The 22,143-nt window shown below is 39.0% G+C and overlaps 2 protein-coding genes across 36 annotated transcripts in view; one reads left to right on the top strand and one right to left on the bottom strand.

Moving 5' to 3' along the window:
* Positions 1 to 22,143, bottom strand: part of ATM (ATM serine/threonine kinase) — a 146,036-nt gene that overhangs the window by 3,825 nt on the left and 120,068 nt on the right. For 14 of the 15 annotated variants that reach the window (XM_011542840.4, XM_047426977.1, XM_006718843.5 and 11 more), the window contains 6 exons: positions 21,907 to 22,056; positions 19,370 to 19,535; positions 17,913 to 17,999; positions 11,398 to 11,512; positions 10,404 to 10,467; positions 60 to 196 (listed from right to left, as the gene is read on the bottom strand). In XM_011542840.4, the coding sequence (XP_011541142.1) occupies positions 60 to 196; positions 10,404 to 10,467; positions 11,398 to 11,512; positions 17,913 to 17,999; positions 19,370 to 19,535; positions 21,907 to 22,056 (719 nt within the window). Of the gene's footprint in view, positions 1 to 59; positions 197 to 10,403; positions 10,468 to 11,397; positions 11,513 to 16,224; positions 16,327 to 17,912; positions 18,000 to 19,369; positions 19,536 to 21,906; positions 22,057 to 22,143 lie in introns of those variants that run through there. The other variant, XM_011542843.3, reaches the window with a different exon arrangement.
* The window catches only part of C11orf65 (chromosome 11 open reading frame 65), a 161,363-nt gene that overhangs the window by 104,604 nt on the left and 34,616 nt on the right, over positions 1 to 22,143 (top strand). The window contains exon 11 of one of the 21 annotated variants that reach the window (NR_147053.3): positions 9,169 to 10,363. The exons of 18 other annotated variants lie outside the window; for them this stretch is intronic. Coding sequence is in view for 2 of the 3 variants with exons in the window: in XM_047426478.1 (XP_047282434.1) it covers positions 16,205 to 16,223 (19 nt within the window). In the remaining variant the exon portion in view is untranslated. Of the gene's footprint in view, positions 1 to 9,168; positions 10,364 to 16,204; positions 18,001 to 22,143 lie in introns of those variants that run through there. 2 more of the 21 variants (XM_047426478.1, XM_047426474.1) reach the window with 2 other exon arrangements.

The raw sequence follows: 22,143 nt of genomic DNA, 5'->3' as shown, positions 1-22,143 counted from the left end.
CCTTGGGAATAAGAAAATCTGAAAAACTGACAACAGGACCTTCTTAAAATACTGCTCACCTGAGATTTCGTTTGCATTCTTGGTCATCTGCATTCAGAGTAGGGTGAAGCTCAGTTTCATCTTCCGGCCTCTGCTGTAAATACAAAGCTTTCAAAGGATTCATGGTCCAGTCAAAGAGTGGATCATATAGAAGGACCTAAACAGAGAGAACATATGTATTAAAAGAACAATGTACATTTTAATCACATACTTAGAAACAGTAGAACCAGTATCATACAAATAAGCCAGTCACATGGTAGTTGATGGGGGAGGGGAACAAACATCATGCACACTTCATGTTTCCTTGAGGAAACTATCCTAGCATAATGCTCCAAGCTTCTCATTTCATTCTGAATTCATTCTTCCTCCATGGTTAGGGGTGACATCCCTTGACCCATGTTTCCTGACTGGATGAAACTAATCTATTAAAAGGTTAGTCACTTTCTTTCCTTCTCTCTCTACTCTTAACCCTGGGTTAGTGTATTTGCTTTGTAGGGCCCAATTCTTCCTCAGCCCAGGCTGTCTCAAGGTATAGATTGGGATGTGGGAACTGGAGAGCACCAGCAAGCCTATTTGGACCTCACTCCTAAGCCGTCTTCTCCAATAGTTTTATCAGTAACAAATCTGAAATTCTGATCTCCACCCTATTCCTATGGCTCTTTTTCTCTCAGTTCTAAATCTGGGTGGATCCAGAAAGGTATAATTTGTTGAAACCTCCTCAAAACCCAAGGTTTGGTGCTGCGTTTGGAATCTTGAGATATATATTAGGTGTAGAATTAGGATACCAAAACAACTGACATGGCTAGAGCAAGTAGCTTTAGGTCGTAAATTTTAGAAAGTGAGTTCATGAGGAATTTCTGATATTGGCAGTTCAGAACAGCTAACTGCTCTGGTATTTATAAACACAGAACTTTAAAAAAAATAGGCTTTAGCAAATGCTTACAAATCTTAGTAATAAGTGGAGACAATATAAAGAATGATTCTACAGGGCATTCCAGTATTACAAGGTTGGAACACTTTTTTGCTGCTATCTGTATACAGTTTCTCAGTAAATCTGCAGGTTGGGACTATAAAATGCCTTTAGCAGATTTAGTTTCAGGACACGTACTAGATTAGCAGAACCAAAATCTCTCTATTTTTTAATGCTGTTTTGAGTGTCCTCCAGGACCATTAAATACTGTGGAGAAACTGAGCTTGATTACATGTAGCTTGTCCGTTAAGTTCAAGGTTTCCTATGTGACTTCAAGTTGGGCACTGACATGGCTTTAGATTTCAGAGATCCAAACCAGTTTCACCCACAAAAGGGAAATATTAATATATTTTATTAATGAACTAATGAAAAGGAATGAAGGCCTCTAATACAGACTAGATGGTTTTCTTGGGTTGAAGTAGAAGAAAAATCTAAATTACTTCAAAACCAAGGGCTTGTGTCAGGAATCATACTTGCAAATATTAGAATTAAGGAGGAACTGGAATAAGTAAAAAATTATGTTTCAGTCTGACAAGACAGAAGTGGTTGGAAACAGTAAAGGAATACAGACTGATTAAGCTAGAGCAGGGTTTCTCAGTCTCAGCACTATTGTCATTTTGGATGGGGTATTTCTTTGCTGTGGGGGCTAACTTGTACATTCTGAGGTGTTCAGCAGCATCCCTGGCCTCTACCCAGTAGATGCCAATACTATCCTCATCTCCCATCCCCAATTGTGACAATAAAAATGCCTCCAGACATTGCCAACTGTCCTCTAGGGGACAAAACTGCTCTTGGCTAAGCATCACTGAGTTAGAGGGAGAGATATATTTCCTTAGCATAACACATAAAATCTTAGAGGAGAGAATGGTCCATTAGGAAGAAAATAAAATCTTGAAGGCCAGGAGAGACAAATACACTGAAAAGAAAAGGGAAATACACCCAGGTTAAAGTGCTCTGAAGGAGGGGCTTAGGAAGCGGGGAGATCAGTTCAGAAATAGTGACTGTGCCTCAATGAAATCTAAGAGAAGAAAAGAAATGAATCCAAGAGAGGAAAGAAATGATGTCCCAGAGGACTGGGAACCAGGATGCTAATTGAGAAGCACCCTCCTAAAGCTGAAGGCAGAAAGGGTCTTACTGTGGTAAGATCACTGGGAAAATTATTCTTGAAGATTGGAACAATCACACCAAATGATTTGGGGAAATTCGGACAGATTTACGGAGGGAAGATTAGGTAGATGAGTGTAAAATACACAAAGCATTGGAGGGTGTGTTTTTTTTGTTTGTTTGTTTTGTTGTTTGTTTTTTTAGTTTTTTTTAAATTATACTTTTATGTTTTAGGGTACATGTGCACATTGTGCAGGTTAGTTACATATGTATACATATGCCATGCTGGTGCGCTGCACCCACTAACTCGTCATCTAGCATTAGGTATATCTCCCAATGCTATCCCTCCCCCCGCCCCCCACCCCACCACAGTCCCCAGAGTGTGATATTCCCCTTCCTGTGTCCATGTGTTCTCATTGTTCAATTCCCACCTATGAGTGAGAATATGCGGTGTTTGGTTTTTTGTTCTTGCGATAGTTTACTGAGAATGATGATTTCCAATTTCATCCATGTCCCTACAAAGGACATGAACTCATCATTTTTTATGGCTGCATAGTATTCCATGGTGTATATGTGCTACATTTTCTTAATCCAGTCTATCATTGTTGGACATTTGGGTTGGTTCCAAGTCTTTGCTATTGTGAATAATGCCGCAATAAACATACGTGTGCATGTGTCTTTATAGCAGCATGATTTATAGTCCTTTGGTTATATACCCAGTAATGGGATGGCTGGGTCAAATGGTATTTCTAATTCTAGATCCCTGAGGAATCGCCACACTGACTTCCACAATGGTTGAACTAGTTTACAGTCCCACCAACAGTGTAAAAGGGTTCCTATTTCTCCACATCCTCTCCAGCACCTGTTGTTTCCTGACTTTTTAATGACTGCCATTCTAACTGGTGTGAGATGGTATCTCATTGTGGTTTTGATTTGCATTTCTCTGATGGCCAGTGATGATGAGCATTTTTTCATGTGTTTTTTGGCTGCATAAATGTCTTCTTTTGAGAAGTGTCTGTTCATGTCCTTCACCCACTTTTTGATGGGGTTGTTTGTTTTTTTCTTGTAAATTTGTTTGAGTTCATTGTAGATTCTGGATATTAGCCCTTTGTCAGATGAGTAGGTTGCGAAAATTTTCTCCCATTTTGTAGGTTGCCTGTTCACTCTGATGGTAGTTTCTTTTGCTGTGCAGAAGCTCTTTAGTTTAATTAGATCCCATTTGTCAATTTTGGCTTTTGTTGCCATTGCTTTTGGTGTTTTGGACATGAAGTCCTTGCCCATGCCTATGTCCTGAATGGTAATGCCTAGGTTTTCTTCTAGGGTTTTTATGGTATTAGGTCTAACGTTTAAGTCTTTAATCCATCTTGAGTTAATTTTTGTATCAGGTGTAAGGAAGGGATCCAGTTTCAGCTTTCTCCATATGGCTAGCCAGTTTTCCCAGCACCATTTATTAAATAGGGAATCCTTTCCCCATTGCTTGTTTTTCTCAGGTTTGTCAAAGATCAGATAGTTGTAGACATGCGGCGTTATTTCTAAGGGCTCTGTTCTGTTCCATTGATCTATATCTCTGTTTTGGTACCAGTACCATGTTGTTTTGGTTACTGTAGCCTTGTAGTATAGTTTGAAGTCAGGTAGTGTGATGCCTCCAGCTTTGTTCTTTTGGCTTAGGATTGACTTGCCGATGCGGGCTCTTTTTTGGTTCCATATGAACTTTAAAGTAGTTTTTTCCAATTCTGTAAAGAAAGTCATTGGTAGCTTGATGGGGATGCCATTGAATCTGTAAATTACCTTGGGCAGTATGGCCATTTTCACAATATTGATTCTTCCTACCCATGAGCATGGAATGTTCTTCCATTTGTTTGTATCCTCTTTTATTTCCTTGAGCAGTGGTTTGTAGTTCTCCTTGAAGAGGTCCTTCACATCCCTTGTAAGTTGGATTCCTAGGTATTTTATTCTCTTTGAAGCAATTGTGAATGGGAGTTCACTCATGATTTGGCTCTCTGTTTGTCTGTTGTTGGTGTAAAAGAATGCTTGTGATTTTTGTACATTGATTTTGTATCCTGAGACTTTGCTGAAGTTGCTTATCAGCTTAAGGAGATTTTGGGCTGAGACAGTGGGGTTTTCTAGATATACAATCATGTCATCTGCAAACAGGGACAATTTGACTTCCTCTTTTCCTAATTGAATACCCTTTATTTCCTTCTCCTGCCTGATTGCCCTGGCCAGAACTTCCAACACTATGTTGAATAGGAGTGGTGAGAGAGGGCATCCCTGTCTTGTGCCAGTTTTCAAAGGGAATGCTTCCAGTTTTTGCCCATTCAGTATGATATTGGCTCTGGGTTTGTCATAGATAGCTCTTATTATTTTGAAATACGTCCCATCAATACCTAATTTATTGAGAGTTTTTAGCATGAAGGGTTGTTGAATTTTGTCAAAGGCTTTTTCTGCATCTATTGAGATAATCATGTGGTTTTTGTCTTTGGTTCTGTTTATATGCTGGATTACATTTATTGATTTGCATATATTGAACCAGCCTTGAATCCCAGGGATGAAGCCCACTGGATCATGGTGGATAAGCTTTTGGATGTGCTGCTGGATTCGTTTTGCCAGTATTTTATTGAGGATTTTTGCATCAATGTTCATCAAGGATATTGGTCTAAAATTCTCTTTTTTGGTTGTGTCTCTGCCCGGCTTTGGTATCAGAATGATGCTGGCCTCATAAAATGAGTTAGGGAGGATTCCCTCTTTTTCTATTGATTGGAATAGTTTCAGAAGGAATGGTACCAGTTCCTCCTTGTACCTCTGGTAGAATTCAGCTGTGAATCCATCTGGTCCTGGACTCTTTTTGTTTGGTAAACTATTGATTATTGCCACAATTTCAGCTCCTGTTACTGGTCTATTCAGAGATTCAACTTCTTCCTGGTTTAGTCTTGGGAGAGTGTATGTGTCGAGGAATTTATCCATTTCTTCTAGATTTTCTAGTTTATTTGCGTAGAGGTGTTTGTAGTATTCTCTGATGGTAGTTTGTATTTCTGTGGGATCGGTGGTGATATCCCCTTTATCATTTTTTATTGTGTCTATTTGATTCTTCTCTCTTTTTTCTTTATTAGTCTTGCTAGCGGTCTATCAATTTTGTTGATCCTTTCAAAAAACCAGCTCCTGGATTCATTAATTTTTTGAAGGGTTTTTTGTGTCTCTATTTCCTTCAGTTCTGCTCTGATTTTAGTTATTTCTTGCCTTCTGCTAACTTTTGAATGTGTTTGCTCTTCCTTTTCTAGCTCTTTTAATTGTGATGTTAGGGTGTCAGTTTTGGATCTTTCCTGCTTTCTCTTGTGGGCATTTAGTGCTATAAATTTCCCTCTACACACTGCTTTGAATGTGTCCCAGAGATTCTGGTACGTTGTGTCTTTGTTCTCGTTGGTTTCAAAGAACATCTTTATTTCTGCCTTCATTTCATTATGTATCCAGTAGTCATTCAGGAGCAGGTTGTTTGGTTTCCATGTAGTTGAGCGGTTTTGAGTGAGATTCTTAATCCTGAGTTCTAGTTTGATGTCACTGTGGTCTGAGAGATAGTTTGTTATAATCTCTGTTCTTTTACATTTGCTGAGGAGAGCTTTACTTCCAACTATGGGGTCAATTTTGGAATAGGTGTGGTGTGGTGCTGAAAAAAATGTATATTCTGTTGATTTGGGGTGGAGAGTTCTGTAGATGTCTATTAGGTCCGCTTGGTGCAGAGCTGAGTTCAATTCCTGGGTATCCTTGTTGACTTTTTATCTCGTTGATCTGTCTAATGTTGACAGTGGGGTGTTAAAGTCTCCCATTATTAATGTGTGGGATTCTAAGTCTCTTTGTAGGTCACTCAGGACTTGCTTTATGAATCTGGGTGCTCCTGTATTGGGTGCATATATATTTAGGATAGTTAGCTCTTCTTGTTGAATTGATCCCTTTACCATTATGTAATGGCCTTCTTTGTTTCTTTTGATCTTTGTTGGTTTAAAGTCTGTTTTATCAGAGACTAGGATTGCAACCCCTGCCTTTTTTTGTTTTCCATTTGCTTGGTAGATCTTCCTCCATCCTTTTATTTTGAGCCTATGTGTGTCTCTGCACGTGAGATGGGTTTCCTGAATACAGCACACTGATGGGTCTTGACTCTTTATCCAATTTGCCAGTCTGTGTCTTTTAATTGGAGCATTTAGTCCATATACATTTAAAGTTAATTTTGTTATGTGGGAGTTTGATCCTGTCATTATGATGTTAGCTGGTGATTTTGTTCGTTAGTTGATGCAGTTTCTTCCTAGTCTCGATGGTCTTTACATTTTGGCATGATTTTGCAGTGGCTGGTACCGGTTGTTCCTTTCCATGTTTAGTGCTTCCTTCAGGAGCTCTTTTAGGGTAGGCCTGGTGGTGACAAAATCTCTCAGCATTTGCTTGTCTGTAAAGTATTTTATTTCTACTTCACTGATGAAGCTTAGTTTGGCTGGATATGAAATTCTGGGTTGAAAATTCTTTTCTTTAAGAATGTTGAATATTGGCCCCCACTCTCTTCTGGCTTGTAGGGTTTCTGCCGAGAGATCTGCTGTTAGTCTGATGGGCTTCCCTTTGAGGGTAACCCGACCTTTCTCTCTGGCTGCCCTTAACATTTTTTCCTTCATTTCAACTTTGGTGAATCTGACAATTATGTGTCTTGGAGTTGCTCTTCTCAAAGAGTATCTTTGTGGCATTCTCTGTATTTCCTGAATCTGAACGTTGGCCTGCCTTGCTAGATTGGGGAAGTTCTCCTGGATAATATCCTGCAGAGTGTTTTCCAACTTGGTTCCATTCTCCCCATCACTTTCAGGTACACCAATCAGACGTAGATTTGGTCTTTTCACATAGTCCCATATTTCTTGGAGGCTTTGCTCATTTCTTTTTATTCTTTTTTCTCTGAACTTCCCTTCTCGCTTCATTTCATTCATTTCATCTTCCATCGCTGATACCCTTTCTTCCAGTTGATCGCATCGGCTCCTGAGGCTTCTGCATTCTTCACATAGTTCTCGAGCCTTGATTTTCAGCTCCATCAGCTCCTTTAAGCACTTCTCTGTATTGGTTATTCTAGTTATACATTCTTCTAAATTTTTTTCAAAGTTGTCAACTTATTTGCCTTTGGTTTGAATGTCCTCCCGTAGCTCAGAGTAATTTGATCGTCTGAAGCCTTCTTCTCTCAGCTCGTCAAAGTCATTCTCCATCCAGCTTTGTTCCGTTGCTGGTGAGGAACTGCGTTCCTTTGGAGGAGGAGAGGTGCTCTGCGTTTTAGAGTTTCCAGTTTTTCTGTTCTGTTTTTTCCCCATCTTTGTGGTTTTATCTACTTTTGGTCTTTGATGATGGTGATGTACAGATGGGTTTTTGGTGTGGATATCCTTTCTGTTTGTTAGTTTTCCTTCTAACAGACAAGACCCTCAGCTGCAGGTCTGTTGGAGTACCCTGCCGTGTGAGGTGTCAGTGTGCCCCTGCTGGGGGGTGCCTCCCAGTTAGGCTGCTCGGGGGTCAGGGGTCAGGAACCCACTTGAGGAGGCAGTCTGCCTGTTGTCCGATCTCCAGCTGCGTGCTGGGAGAACCACTACTCTCTTCAAAGCTGTCAGACAGGGACATTTAAGTCTGCAGAGGTTACTGCTGTCTTTTTGTTTGTCTGTGCCCTGCCCCCAGAGGTGGAGCCTACAGAGGCAGGCAGGTCTCCTTGAGCTGTGGTGGGTTCCACCCAGTTCGAGCTTCCCGGCTGCTTTGTTTACCTAATCAAGCCTGGGCAATGGCGGGCGCCCCTCCCCCAGCCTCGCTGCCACCTTGCAGTTTGATCTCAGACTGCTGTGCTAGCAATCAGCGAGACTCCGTGGGCGTAGGACCCTCCAAGCCAGCTGCGGGATATAATCTCGTGGTGCGCCGTTTTTTAAGCCGGTCCAAAAAGCGCAATATTCGGGTGGGAGTGACCCGATTTTCCAGGTGCCGTCTGTCACCCCTTTCTTTGACTAGGAAAGGGAACTCCCTGACCCTTGCGCTTCCCAAGTGAGGCAATGCCTTGCCCTGCTTCAGTTCGCGCACAGTGCGTGCACCCACTGACCTGCGCCCACTGTCTGGCGCTCCCTAGTGAGATGAACCTGGTACCTCAGATGGAAATGCAGAAATCACCTGTCTTCTGCATCGCTCACGCTGGGAGCTGTATACCGGAGCTGTTCCTATTCGGCCATCTTGGCTCCTCCTCCCGGAGGGTGTGTTTAAAGGTGACAGTTATTGTAGGTGGAGATGCAAATCACTTTTCAGACTCAAAACCCTCACTCAAAGGAAATCCAAAGTCCTTACAATGGCAAAGGATCTGGCCACTGTCACTTCTCTCATTTGATCTCCTACTACTCTAAAAAGTGAAGTCCATAAGCAGTTTGGCATTAAACTAGTAAGATTTCTGAGGCCCTAAAAGAACTACCTTCTTCTGGTGAGTGTTAGGTAGGATACAAGTACTGGAAGAAACTCCCAAATCCACCTTAGCATAAAAATCCCTTCTGACTGAAACTAGGTAGAGTAAAATACTAAAGAATATGTTAAGCTGCTTTGACTCTTTAATTTGAAAAGTTTGGGCTTTTTTTTTTTTTTTTTTTTAAGACAGACAGAGTCTTGCTCTTGTCGCCCAGGCTGGAGGGCAATGGTGCAATTTCAGCTCACTACAACCTCCACCTCCTGGGTTCAAGCGATTCTCCTGCCTCAGCCTCCTGAGTAGCTGGGATTACAGGTGCCCGCCATCACGCCCAGCTAATTTTTGCATTTTTATTAGAGACGGGGTTTCACCATGTTGGCCAAACTGGTCTTGAACTCCTGACCTCAGGTGATCCACCTGTCTCGGCCTCTCAAAGTGCTGGGATTACAGGCATGAGCCACCGCGCCCAGCCCTCTTTTTCTTACATGAAAAAGTGCAAGATAATATAACTTTAGAGTTTAATTTCGACATTATTGAGGCATCCATGTTACCATGTATTATTTTTTTAAAATGTTACACATCATGCTTATTTTCTTATCATTTATTCTTACTGCAGAACCAATGGCAAACTGTAACAAATGACAACATGTATGAACAGAATTTGAAATCGGTAAAAGAAAAAAGAATGTATTTTTAACCTTGGGAATAGCACAGCCTTGGATTTAATTTTACCAACGTATTATTGGGACCTATTTCAGCAAACTCCTTGTAGCAAAATCTGTATTACCATCTGCAGTCCAAAGGAGATCTATAAAGATGCCTCGGTTCATAAAGGTGCACACAGGACCACCCTGATGGACTGTTACTCATCTTCCAAGGGATAAAGCCCCACCCTTATTGACCACAGGCTTAATGGTTAATGCCAATGAATTAAGACAGTTCTCATATCCTAGTTGAACAGTAGGAGAGATTTTTAAAAATGCACATATTCCTGCCCCATCTCTAGAAACCTGGTTTGAATTTGATCAGCATCAATGTTTTTTAAATGCAGTAAAAGTAATACTAACATGCAGCCAGTCCAACATAAATCAGGTTAAAGGAAGAAAAGCTGAGTAGTGGAAAAGTGGCAAGCCCATACTGCACTCTACCTGCCATGCTTCCCTGGGGAGGCCACACTCCTGATTTCTTGTCTCACATACCCTTACCAGATTGGTGAATGACTGGCATAGGTACTAACAGCACAGACACTGAAATTTGTTTGACTTCCTTTTTTCTGCCCTGGATCAAGACAAGGCAGTGATCCTGATTACATGTGTTTGCTCTGCAGGCCCAAACCCTATTCAGGTGAGCTGTCCCAAAGTTAAGACAGCAGAGAGGTACTGAGGTAGCACCAGCAGTAAACTAGTCTGGCCCTCATTCCTAAGCCATGTTCCTCTAGTAATGATGCTGACAATTTGATCTCCATTTGTCTGACTAATTAGTTCTGAACCTGAGCAGGGAAAAAGGAGATATAAATTTCTGATTTTTCTTAAACCCTAATGGAAACCATTCTGAAAATAATAATACCATATGGAATATCTAAATGTCAAAGAATTGATTTATGAATTGAAAACTAGAGACTACTTACAATGCTCTAACATTCCAAGAAACTCAAGGGGGCTGAAGGCATTTCTAAACCAGTATTTTTGGATGTGTGAAAAGGCTAAGTGCACAATCTCCTCCTTTCTGCTGCCCAGCCACATCCCCCTATGTTAAAATGAAGCAGTGCTCTTCACATCAGTGACTTCCTGATGAGATACACAGTCTACCTGGTAAGAAAAAAAATAAAGTCTTCCTTATAAAATACTTTACCTCTACAATGGTTAACAGAGTTTCCTGAGAGTTTCTCATCACTTCCATGGTTTTCTCACAGCATCTAGAGTCAAACACATTATAAATACGGATTTTGTTACACACCAATGTTGTCAACGTATCTTTATCTGTATACTCTCATGTGTAGTATGCTGAGCCTATGCTTAATAATCTACATATCTGTATCTCAAAATAGCATAATACTTGGCAGAGTGGGCTTTCATTAGACGTTTGAAATGAATACAAATATGTATTTGACTATTTCACAAGCTTGGCATTTACAAGAATAACACAACACTATTGATTACAGGCATGCACCACTGGGCTCAGCTCTCAGTCTTTGATTATTGTGGCAATTATTAGTTTACACTGACTGCAATCTGCCCCAATCCAAGTTGAGTACACAGACCTATGCTGGGAAAACTACAAGGAACTGCAAAGCTTTTTTAGTAGCACAATGTTATACTAGAACACAAGCTCCTATAAATAAAAATGTAGTCTCTTCTATATGCACAGTGATGAGCACCCAATAGTAGTTTGGATCATTAAGAAGGAGTCAGCCAGGATAGAGGTGTTAAAAGTAAAGGTGGGATGCTTCCAGAGGAGGTTTGGAATAACAGTATGTATGTTACATGGGCTTAGGTCCCAGGTGGGTGGAAGGAAGAGGAACTATTATTGCTTTTACCCAGGGTCTTTTCCTTAGTATTGATAAGGCACTGGAATACGATTCTAGCACTAAATTCTATAATCTATACAAATCTCTAACCCGTGTGTGTGTGTGTGTGTGTGTGTGTGTGTGTGTGTTTGTGTGTGTGTATTTTTTTAGATACAGGGTCTTGCTGTATTGCCTAGGCTGGACTCAAACTCCTGGGCTCAAACAATCCTCCCACTTCAGCCTCTTGAGCAGCTGGGATTACAGGTGCAAAGAACCATGCCCAGCCCATGTAATTTTGACATCAAAAATTATTTCCCTCCTTTACTTCATATCACTTACCTTCTGAAGACACCTTCAACACCCGTAATGCCCATGCCATCCACAATATCTCTGGTGAGTCTAAAAGGAACTGTCTCAGGAGTAGGAAGGATTTTGCCCTGTTCAAAAGCAACACCTAAAGTAAAGAATACAGTGAAGTTAGGAGGTTTGACAGCTAATTTACTTTCTTTCCAGTTAGAATGTGAACTTTACAAAGGCAAGAAACCACATGTTACCTACGTTCTATGAACACTAGTATGTACAGTAGTTTACTTCTGCTCTGGCTGCCTTCCTCATCTTTGTCACTGTCTGTGAGATCCACCTCAAATCCAAATAACCTAACTACTTCTTAACCCAACTAGAGAAATCTAGGTTAAAGGGTGATTTTTAAAAATGAAGTAACTACTGGTATAATTTAAAATGGAGATGATATATTTATATTTAAAAAATTTTTAGGCTGGGTGTGGTGGCTCCCGCCTGTAATCCCAGCACCTTGAGGCTGAGGAGGCCTGACACCTGAGGTCAGGAGTTAAGAGACCAGCCTGGCCAACATGGTGAAACCTTGTCTCCACTAAAAATACAAAAATTAGCTGGGTGTGGTAGCAGGTGCCTATAATCCCAGTTACTCGGGAGGCTGAGACAGGAGAATCACTTGAACCTGGGAGGTGAAGGATACATGGAGCTGAGATCGTGCCATTGCACTCCAGCCTGGGCGACAAGAGTGAAACTCCATCAAAAAAAAAAAATTAATGACATTTTATGAGATAATTATATGTTCACTTCGAGTTGTAAGAAATCATACAGAAAAGATCATCCCTTATGCCTTTTCCCCATTTCACCCCAACTGTAATGTCCTGCAAAACTATACTACTACTGACATCGATGCAGTCAAGATATATAATATTCCTATCATAAGGATCCTTCATACTGCCCTTTACGGCTGCACCTATTTCCCTCCCATAGCCTATCACCCAGCCCTCTGACCCCCTATTTTTCTAGCAGCCACTAATCTGTTCTCCATTTTTATAATTTTGTCATTTCAAGTATGTTATATAAATGGAAGTGGAATAATCATACAGTATGTAACCTTTTGGGAATAGCTTTTTACACTCAGCCTAATTCTCTGGAGATTCATCCAAATTGTTATGTATATCAATAGTTCTGTTTCTTTTCATTGCTGAGTAGTATTTCAGGGCATGGATGTAACACAGTTTGTTTAAGCATTTGCCCACTGTAGAACATCTGGATTTTTCCGGTTCTTGGCTATTATGAATAAAGCTGCTATACACATTTGTAGTACATGGCCATTTTATAAGTAGATTTTGTTGTTAAGTTTTGAGAGTTCTTAAAGATTGTTCTTTTGGTATCAAGTCTAGGAACTCTGTTTAGCCCTAGATGCTGAAGGTTTCCTCTTAATTTTCTTCCTCTGTTGCTCAGCTTGGGTAATTTCTACGGCTCTGTCTTCTATTCACTGATAATTTCTTCTGTCTCCTCATTCTGCAGTTGAAATTTTTTATTTTATTTACTATATTTTTCTGTTCTAAAATTTCCATCTGGTTCTCCTTTATATCTACTTCTATACTGAGACTACTTATTTCTGTGCTGAGACTTACTATATTTTAATTTGTTTCAAGCATGTTTGTAATTGTTCCTTCAGTGTTTTTATGATGGCTGCTTTAAAATCTTAGATAATTCCAACATCATTGTCATCTCAGTGTTGGCACCTACAGGTGGCCATTTTTCATTAAAGTTGAGATTTTCCTGGTTCCAGGTATGCCTAATGATTTTCAATTGACACCTACACCTTTTAGTTATTACGAGACTCAGGATCTTCCTTAAACTTCTGCCTTTAATGCCTTTGGGAGTCACCACCTTGTTACTGCTAGGTAAGGGCAGAAGACTAGATTCCCCAATTGGCCTCCACTGACACTCAATAGGGAAAGGGCTTGCTATAGCTGAGTAGGGCTGAAAGTCCAGGTTCCCCGGATATGTCCACTGACACCAAGGAGTGAGTCAGAAAAAAGGAAAAAAAGGTTAGAAAATATAGACTAGCAGGTAACAGTATAAATGATACATTGCAAAGGCCTAACATAGGGTTACTGGAGTCCCAGAAACAGGGAAGAACCAGGATGGACCCTATGACATGACTATGTGATGACATAATGTGATGGAAGTGATACTGTGCAAGTTGCAGGCCTAGCCCTTAACTTCCACTTCCTTCCCCTTGGAGCCCCAAGATGCTGAGTAGGTCCAGGACACTATTGTGGACAGAGAGGCCACATGGGAGTGCTGAAGCATCAGACATGTAAGTGAAGAAGCAATCATGAACTCTGGCCCAGCTGAGTCTTAAGATAACTCCAGCCCCAGATGCTAACTGCAGCTGCATGAGAGATCCTAAGTGAAAACTGTCCAGCTGAGCCCAGTCAACAGACTATGAGAGATAATAATAAATAAATTGTGATTTTAAGCTACTAAATTTTGGGGTGGTTTGTTATGCAGCAACAGGTAACCAAACAGACATACACAGAATAGTATACAAATCACCCAAGTGTGACTCACTGGGATTTCTGCAAAGTGAACAAATCCACGTTAACAGAACTCTACCAGCATTCCAGAGGCCCCCTTTCAGTCCCTCCTACCAGTCACTAATCACCTCTTTCAAAGGGTCACCACTATCCTGATTTCTAACACTATACATTAATTTTATCAGCTTTTGAATTTTATGTAAATGGAATTATACATGTGTACTCTTTTATGTTGGAATCTTTCACTTAGCATTATATTTGTGAGAGTCTTCTATATTGTGTGTTATTATTCATTCAATCTCATTATATACAAAGAGAATATAAATATACGACAATTTGTTCATCCATTCTACCTATGATGGATATCTGGATTGTTTCCAGTTAGGGGCTATTATGAATAATGCTACTATAAACATTTTTATACATATGTATGCATTTGTGTTGGAGTGGAATTGATGGGTCACAGGATATACATAAAGTCAGCTTTAGTGGATAATGCCAAACAATATTCCAAAGGGGTTGTACCAATTTACCCTTCTCATTTATAGATGCTTTTAGCACGACCTGAATGGACTCAGGTTGGCATACTCCTACCTCTAATTTGCATCTTCCAGACCACTCTCCTTTCATTCTCAGATAAAGTCTGGCTCCTCTGTTGAGATCCCCACCTTCTAGCTCTAACAAATCCCTTCCATCTTCACGTTTACTCTGTAAACCTGTAAGGTTTTCTCTCACATTCGCTGAATGTTGGCATGGACCTAGCTCACAATCTTCCCCTCTGTCCCAACTCTAGAATTCATTCTGGGGAAAACCATATAATATCCGTGACTGTCTCTGTTCTAATGGAATTCAATTTCATTCTATCTTAATGAACCACTCATATGGGTTGTACTCCAGAAATGAGTCTGCTAAAACTGCTTCTTAGACATTGTAAATTGTACATTCTAATCAAAACCTCTTCTCCTTCTACCCCTTATTCTTACTAAACAGTCTTCAAATTTGACTGAGATTTCTAGTTTATTAGCCCTCTTCTTTCCCTAACTCAGCCCAGGGGTAGAGACAATAAGTTTGATTACTCTCATCAGTGCTTCAAATCTCCTTGTCCCCTTGTCCCTCCACCACATCTCCCATTTTAAACTACAACTTAAGCTCCAAGGATGTTGAGGACTGCTGGAAAATCATACAACAACCCTATTGGCTCCACTACAAATTTAGGATTGAAAGTGCCCCTTAAACTGCTTGGCATGTCTTATTTATTTATCCCTTTCTAGTCAGGTCTTGGTCTCATTTCCATGGTAAATTTTAGAATTTTATTTGTTCTTTTAAGGCCAGTTACCATCCCTCCAATTCTTAGCAAATGAGCATGCTTTCTATTTCTCAGCAAAAACACAATAGCAAATATAATTCCCTCATACTCCTTCCTCTCCAGCTTAAGACTTTCCTATTGGCATCACTTTTCCTTCTCTCTCAGCAGAAAAGCTAACATGCCTCCAATCTAAAGCCAATGCTATCAGACTCACGTACTTTATGATTTCCCTTGCTATTTCAATTATCTTTTGTTTTTCTCCTGTATCTTCAATATCTAACAGGTTTAAACCTCTCCTATCTTAAAAAAGCAAGGACCAAATGTGTCTCTCATTCCTGCAGCAAATTTCTCTGCCATCCTTCCCTTCCCTTCTAAACTTCTTGTAGGAAGATTCCACATTCTTTTTTTTTGAGACAGTCTTGCTCTGCCGCCCAGGCTGAAGTGCAGTGGCATGATCTTAGCTCACTGCAACCTCTGCTTCCTGGGTTCAAGTGATTCTCCTGCCTCAGCCTCCCAAGTAGCTGGGACTACAGGTGCCCACCACCTCGCCCGGCTAATTTTTTGTATTTTAGTAGAGATGGGGTTTCACCATGTTGGCCAGGATGGTCTCAATCTCCTGACCTCGTGATCCACCTGCCTTGGCCTCCCAAAGTGTTGGGATTACAGGTGTGATCCACCGCGCCTGGCAGATTCCACATTCTTAATCTACACATCCTTAACTTCCATTCAGTCCTTGCCTTTTTACAGTATGGTTTCCTCCATTCTATCCAAAGGGGACTTCCAAGGCCTCTAGGATTGATTACTTGTTAAATTCAAAGGTCTATTTTCAGCATTCATCCTCTCTGACCTTTCTGTATCAGATACTATTGAGCACTACTTCTTTCATAAAAGATTTTCCCCTCTTGCCTTCCAAGATCCTGACTTCCTTTGAGTACTTCTCAGTTTTTTTCTGGCTCAGCCTTTCCAAGGCTCACTTCCCTTATGATTTCATCTTTAGGTCTCTTTATCACGGATGATGTGTGAGATCAGAACCTCCTCCAGCCCAGTGACTTCAACTGAAATCTATTTGCTGAAGATTCTGGATCTCCGTCATTACATTCACACTTCTTTTTCTACATTCTGAGTTGCAGGGGGATAATAGTGATGATGTGGTTAGTAACCAAACCAGCTTCATTATTAAATCATATGTTTCATATTCATCCTGATTCTTAGCATCTACCTTTTTATAACTTATGCAGAAGAGAATTCTCCTACTTCAATAAATAATAAAAAGACAGGGTTTTCTTCTTTGTTTTATAGTGAATATGGCATATTTTCTCTCCTCTCAATATATTATTTTCTGAGAATTTCTTTGGAAAATAATGAAACCTGTGATAACTTATTTCCTTTAATTATTTTTGTTCTTTTGCATATAACCTCTAAAAATTATCACCTAGTGATTAATACTGTTTAATAGAAGTTTGTCATTACATTCACACTTCTTTACATTACATTCACACTTCTTTCTTATATATTAAACTGTCTATTCCACCTAGAAATCCCATTAATACTTCAAAATAATGAGCAAAACTAAATTCATCACTTTCTTATTATTTACAAAACTTGATATATTTCTTAGCTATATATATTCTTTCTTTCTTATATATTAAACTGTCTATATATATACATAGAAGCTACATATTCTTTCTTTCTTATATATTAAACTGTCTATTCCACCTAGAAATCCCATTAATACTTCAAAATAATGAGCAAAACTAAATTCATCACTTTCTTATTATTTACAAAACTTGATATATTCCTTAGCTATATATATTCTCTTTCTTTTATATTAAACTGTCTATATATATACATAGAAGCTATATATTCTTTCTTTCTTATATATTAAACTGTCTATTCCACCTAGAAATTCCATTAATACTTCAAAATAATGAGCAAAACTAAATTCATCACTTTCTTACTATTTACAAAACTTGATATATTCCTTAGTTAGAAGCTTCAGTTATCTGGGGGCCCCACTCCCCCACTATTTCCTCATCTAATATCACTGGTACAGTTTACTACAAAAATGTCCCTCAAATCCAATATTCTGGTTTCTACAACTTTAGTATAAATCTTCATCATTTCTCATCTAAACTATTACAATATCCCTTAATTTTTCTTCCTGCTGCCAATACCACTCCCCAAAGTGCTCCTGAAATTATATTTCTGAAAATAAAATATTATCATGTCCTTCATTTATTTCCTATAGTTTAATGCAATGAAGTTGAAACTCCTTAGCCTGGCTTTTTACAGTCTAGTACCAATCTCTCTCTCAAGCGACTCAACTACAGGCTTACTTCACTCCAGACACATTTAATGTCTCACCACTCCCACAACATGCTACATCTTAAAATTACTCCTTGTTTTGGTGGAATAGCCCTGATTCCTTCTTTTGAATCTGCTCTATCTTCTGTCTGAATTATGCTTTCTTTCTTTCTTGAAGACCAGGCTCAAAAGACACCTCATCTATTAAGTTTCACTCAGTACCCCAGGCAGAGTTAACTGTTTCTTCTAGGACAACTGTTTATGCTGAAAACAAAAAAACCCAATATTTACTGCTTCAATTTATCTGTCTCTTATATTTGTAATATCTTGGTAGGCAAACAACATTCCATGATGACCAAATATTTACTAAAAAGAATAGATACATAGATTTTATTACTTACCTAGATCTATATGTACAAGTTCTGCTGACTGCTCATTTATCAAGATATTCTGTACATGTCTATCACCAAGTCCAAGTATGTAACCAACTGGAGAAAAAAGAAACAAACAATCTGAAATCACTGATTCCATCTCTTTCTAATATATAGCCATAATTTCAATTAAGACCACTGACTTGGTATAATCTTTAAGTAGTTTAGGATTTTTAGCCTACTTAAATGATGTGCATAACCGGCCATGTTGAGTTTAACTCAAATCTTGCCAGCTATTTTAATGCATATTGCATTTTACAAATCCTAGATGATTTGCTAAAAAAATTTTCTCTTTACTAATAGGCACACATTTTAAAATATTAGTACTTAAAAAATTATTGTGGCTAAAGTTGAGACCCATTATTTACCTGGGTCAAAGCTGTGCATTATATGTACTCAAATTTTTATTGAACATACTTATAAAATGAGAAGTCTATGGATAAACTCTTCACTCTTCAGTGAAACTTTCTTCTCCTTGATGAATTATATTTAACACAAATTAATCATTAATTCATTTCACCAGGTGTGTATCCCCCCAAAAAACTGCATTTCTGTATTTAAGACAGATGATGACATGCACTAATGGGAGAAATCACATGGCATTACAAAAAAACACACTGGGTAGGGAATCAGAATGACTGGGTGTCTGGCTTGCTCTGTCATTAACTAGGCCTACTTTCTTGTTTATAAACTAGTTGTATCAGATTAGTGATTCTCTATGTAGAAGAGAGTTTCACAATTACCTGGGAACTCTTTCAAAACATACATGCCCTGCCTTCCTGGGGTATAGTATGTAAGTGATGGAGGGAGTTGTCTTTAGTTAAAAAAAAAAAAAACAACAAATAGATTAGATGATCTCTAATGTTTACATTAGTTCTCATACTCTAGGATTTTGTTAACCATACTATCTACCTATTCTAATTTCTTAGGGAAAAAAAGTCAAAATATATATTGTACACAAAATATTTAAATATATCTCATGGTTTCTATTCTGAAAACAAAATTCTATTAAAAAGTATTAATCACTAGGTGATGATATTTAGAGGTTATATGCAAAAGAACAAAAATAATTAAAGGAAATAAGTTATCACAGGTTTCATTATTTTCCAAAGAAAGTCTCAGAAAATAATATATTGAGAGGAGAGAAAATATGCCATATTCACTATAAAACAAAGAAGAAAACCCTGTCTTTTTATTATTTATTGAAGTAGGAGAATTCTCTTCTGCATAAGTTATAAAAAGGTAGACACTAAGAATCAGGATGAACAAGAAACATATGATTTAATAATGAAGATGGGTTGGTTACTAACCACATCATCACTATCATCCCCCTGCAACTCAGAATGTAGAAAAAGTGCTGAATCAAACAAAAATAAAACCTGCCAAACAACAAAGTGCTCAATCTACTATATGTACAAGAAGATTACCAATAGAAGAAGTAGCTACACTGCGCGTATAAGCCAATCGCTTCTCAAACCAAATAGCTGGATCCAAGAATTTTTCCATGCAGAAGTAACGGAAAACTGGTTGAAAATTTTGGCAAACATCCATGAAGACTTCATATTTCTCTTCAAAAGACTTTTTTTGCACCTCCTTTAAATAGAGAATATATATAATTATTTTTCAATATTGTGTTCAATTAAACTAATATACACATTTTTATATAAAAATATGACAGATATAGGGGCAATAAAGATGAACAGGATACATTACCTACAAGAAGCTAACAGTCTGGACAGGGAAGCAATTAATTACAAGTGATAATCCCTTTAGGATTTCCATATTAATTGTTGGGGGAGGAAGCACACCTACAGTGACTGTTACTTGTTTTGATTAAATTCTAATTTGAATAATCCTGTACTCTTAAGCAGAAATAAACACAGAAATGCCTAAGTAGTTCCAGATAACCTCAGGTGGCATCACAGCATTGGGTTGCAATAGAAAACAGGAAAAGAGAAAGAACAGAAGAATCCCTCATAGATGGCAGCTGATATGACTCAGATCTCTATCCTCCAACATCTTCTTGCCATAAAATACTACCTGAAGCAAAGCTTACCGACTTCAACTCCCTTCCATCTATGTGCTGATGATTTCTAAATCTGTTTGGCCCAGATATCTTTATTAAGCTTTAGCTTAATGTGCTTCTCAAGCTGCCCATTCAGCATCTTCACTTGGATCACTTCCAAATTCAAATACTTCATCTCTGGCAAACTTTAGTCACCTCTTCTATTCTTCAATGCAGTAAAGAGCTTCACCATCTACCCAGCTGCCCCAAACAGAAAACTGGGAGGCACTGGCTACTCCTTTTCTCCAACATTTTTTTTTTTTGGAGACAGGGTGACAGGGTCTCTGTCACCTGGACTGGAGTGCAGGGGTGTGATCACAGCTCACTGCAATTTTGGCCCCTGGGCTCAAGCAATCCTCTCACCTCAGCCTCTTGAGTAGCTGGGATTACAGGCATGTGCCACCATTACCTGGCTGACTTTTTATTTTTTGTAGAGATGTGGTCTCACTATGTTTCCCAGGCTGGTCTTAAACTCCTGGGCTCAAGCAATCCTCCTGCCTTGGTATCCTTAAGTGCTGGGATTACAGGCATGCGCTACCACACCCGCCCCCCAACCTTATTTTTAATCAGCAATCAAATCCTATGAATTCTGCCTCCTTCATATTTCTCATCTCTACCCACGATTCTCCCTTCCTACTGCTGTTCATCTCAGTTCAGACCATCTCATGCCTCCAGTTTGCATTCTCAAAAATAGAACCCACAGTGCCGTCGGAATTTCTTTCTAAAATGCAAGTCTGATATTACTATCCTTTAGGGTCTTATGAGGCCTATAGCATAAGGTGCAAACTCCTTTGCATTTCATAAAGCAACACTCCATCTTTTGACCAACAATTACTGCTCCAATCTCATCTTTTCTTCCTCAAACACTAAGCCTATGCTTATGTTGTCTTTTCCTGCTCATGTCTCCTCTCCTTTGCTTATATGCTCCTTCTGCCTGGAAAAACAACTCATTTACAAAACTCGGCTCACACACCTTTTCCTCTGTGAAGCATTTCTTGGATCTACTTCTGTCTATTCTCCCCACCCCAGGCAGAACTAAGCACTTCCTCCTCCATACCTACACTGTACCCTGTGTGCCCTGTACAGACTTCCATCACAACACCTATAGCACTTATCACACATTTTAAAAAACATGTCACAGAAAGCACAATAAAATGAACAATAAATGGATTTTGGATTTAGACAAGGCTCAAATCCTTGCTCTGTTTATTAGCTCACTGGCCTTGGGCAAGTTCTCTGAACTTCTCATTTTAAAATGAGGATAAGGATTATGATGATTAGTCGTAATATTTGATATTTGTGAAGTCTTAAGTCAGCACAGTACCTGGTAGACAGAAAACATACAATAAATGTTGCTGATTCAGCGAATGAATATCAGACTAGATGGCCAATGTGACATTGTAAATGTCTCAGAAGGTTTTCTATATCAGTTTCATAAAAAATTACTTCATAATCTTGTTGTTGTTGTTGTTTACTGTGTTTGTTTTTTAGAGATGGGGTCTTGCTCTGTTGCCCAGGCTGGCCTCAAAATCCTGGGTTCAAGGGATCCCCCAGACTCAGCCTCTCAAGTAGCTGGGATTACAGGTGCATGCCATCGTGCCTGGCATTTTAGTGTTTTGTTTGCTAAGAATTAGTTTATCCCAAATTGAAAACAAATCAGCACACATTGAATAACCTTTACATTTCTTATCTGACAAGGGTTGACATATTATGTAGTTTAAAATCCTTCCTTTTTCACTCACACACTTTCATTCTGATGAGTTTTTCTTTTACTTAGTATCTTTGACAATTACCTGATGAAATTAAAGTTTTTTTGTATTCTATAATATCTGACAGCTGTCAGCTTTAATAAGCCATTAAATAATCTTACAATAACCTTTAATTTTGGGTGTCACTCACCATCATTTTCTTTTGGCACTGAAAGGCACTGAAATCATTTGGCCTGTATCTTTTATGAGCACCATCTTCATTGTTAACAAGAAATTCACCAATGGGGACAGTTCCTGTGCACCATTCAAGAACACCACTTCGCTGAGAGAGGGGAACCACCTGGAGTTACAGATTAAATACCTTTTAATTTTAAAAGGCCATTAAAGAGCATTTGATGATCATTCAGCTATCAGAGTCAGTGCAAAG

The sequence above is a fragment of the Homo sapiens genome, chromosome 11 (genome assembly GCF_000001405.40).
Source record: "Homo sapiens chromosome 11, GRCh38.p14 Primary Assembly".
Lineage (NCBI taxonomy): Eukaryota > Metazoa > Chordata > Mammalia > Primates > Hominidae > Homo > Homo sapiens.
The sequence above is the reverse complement of the archived record's forward strand: the minus strand, read 5'-3'. Positions and strand labels throughout refer to the sequence as shown.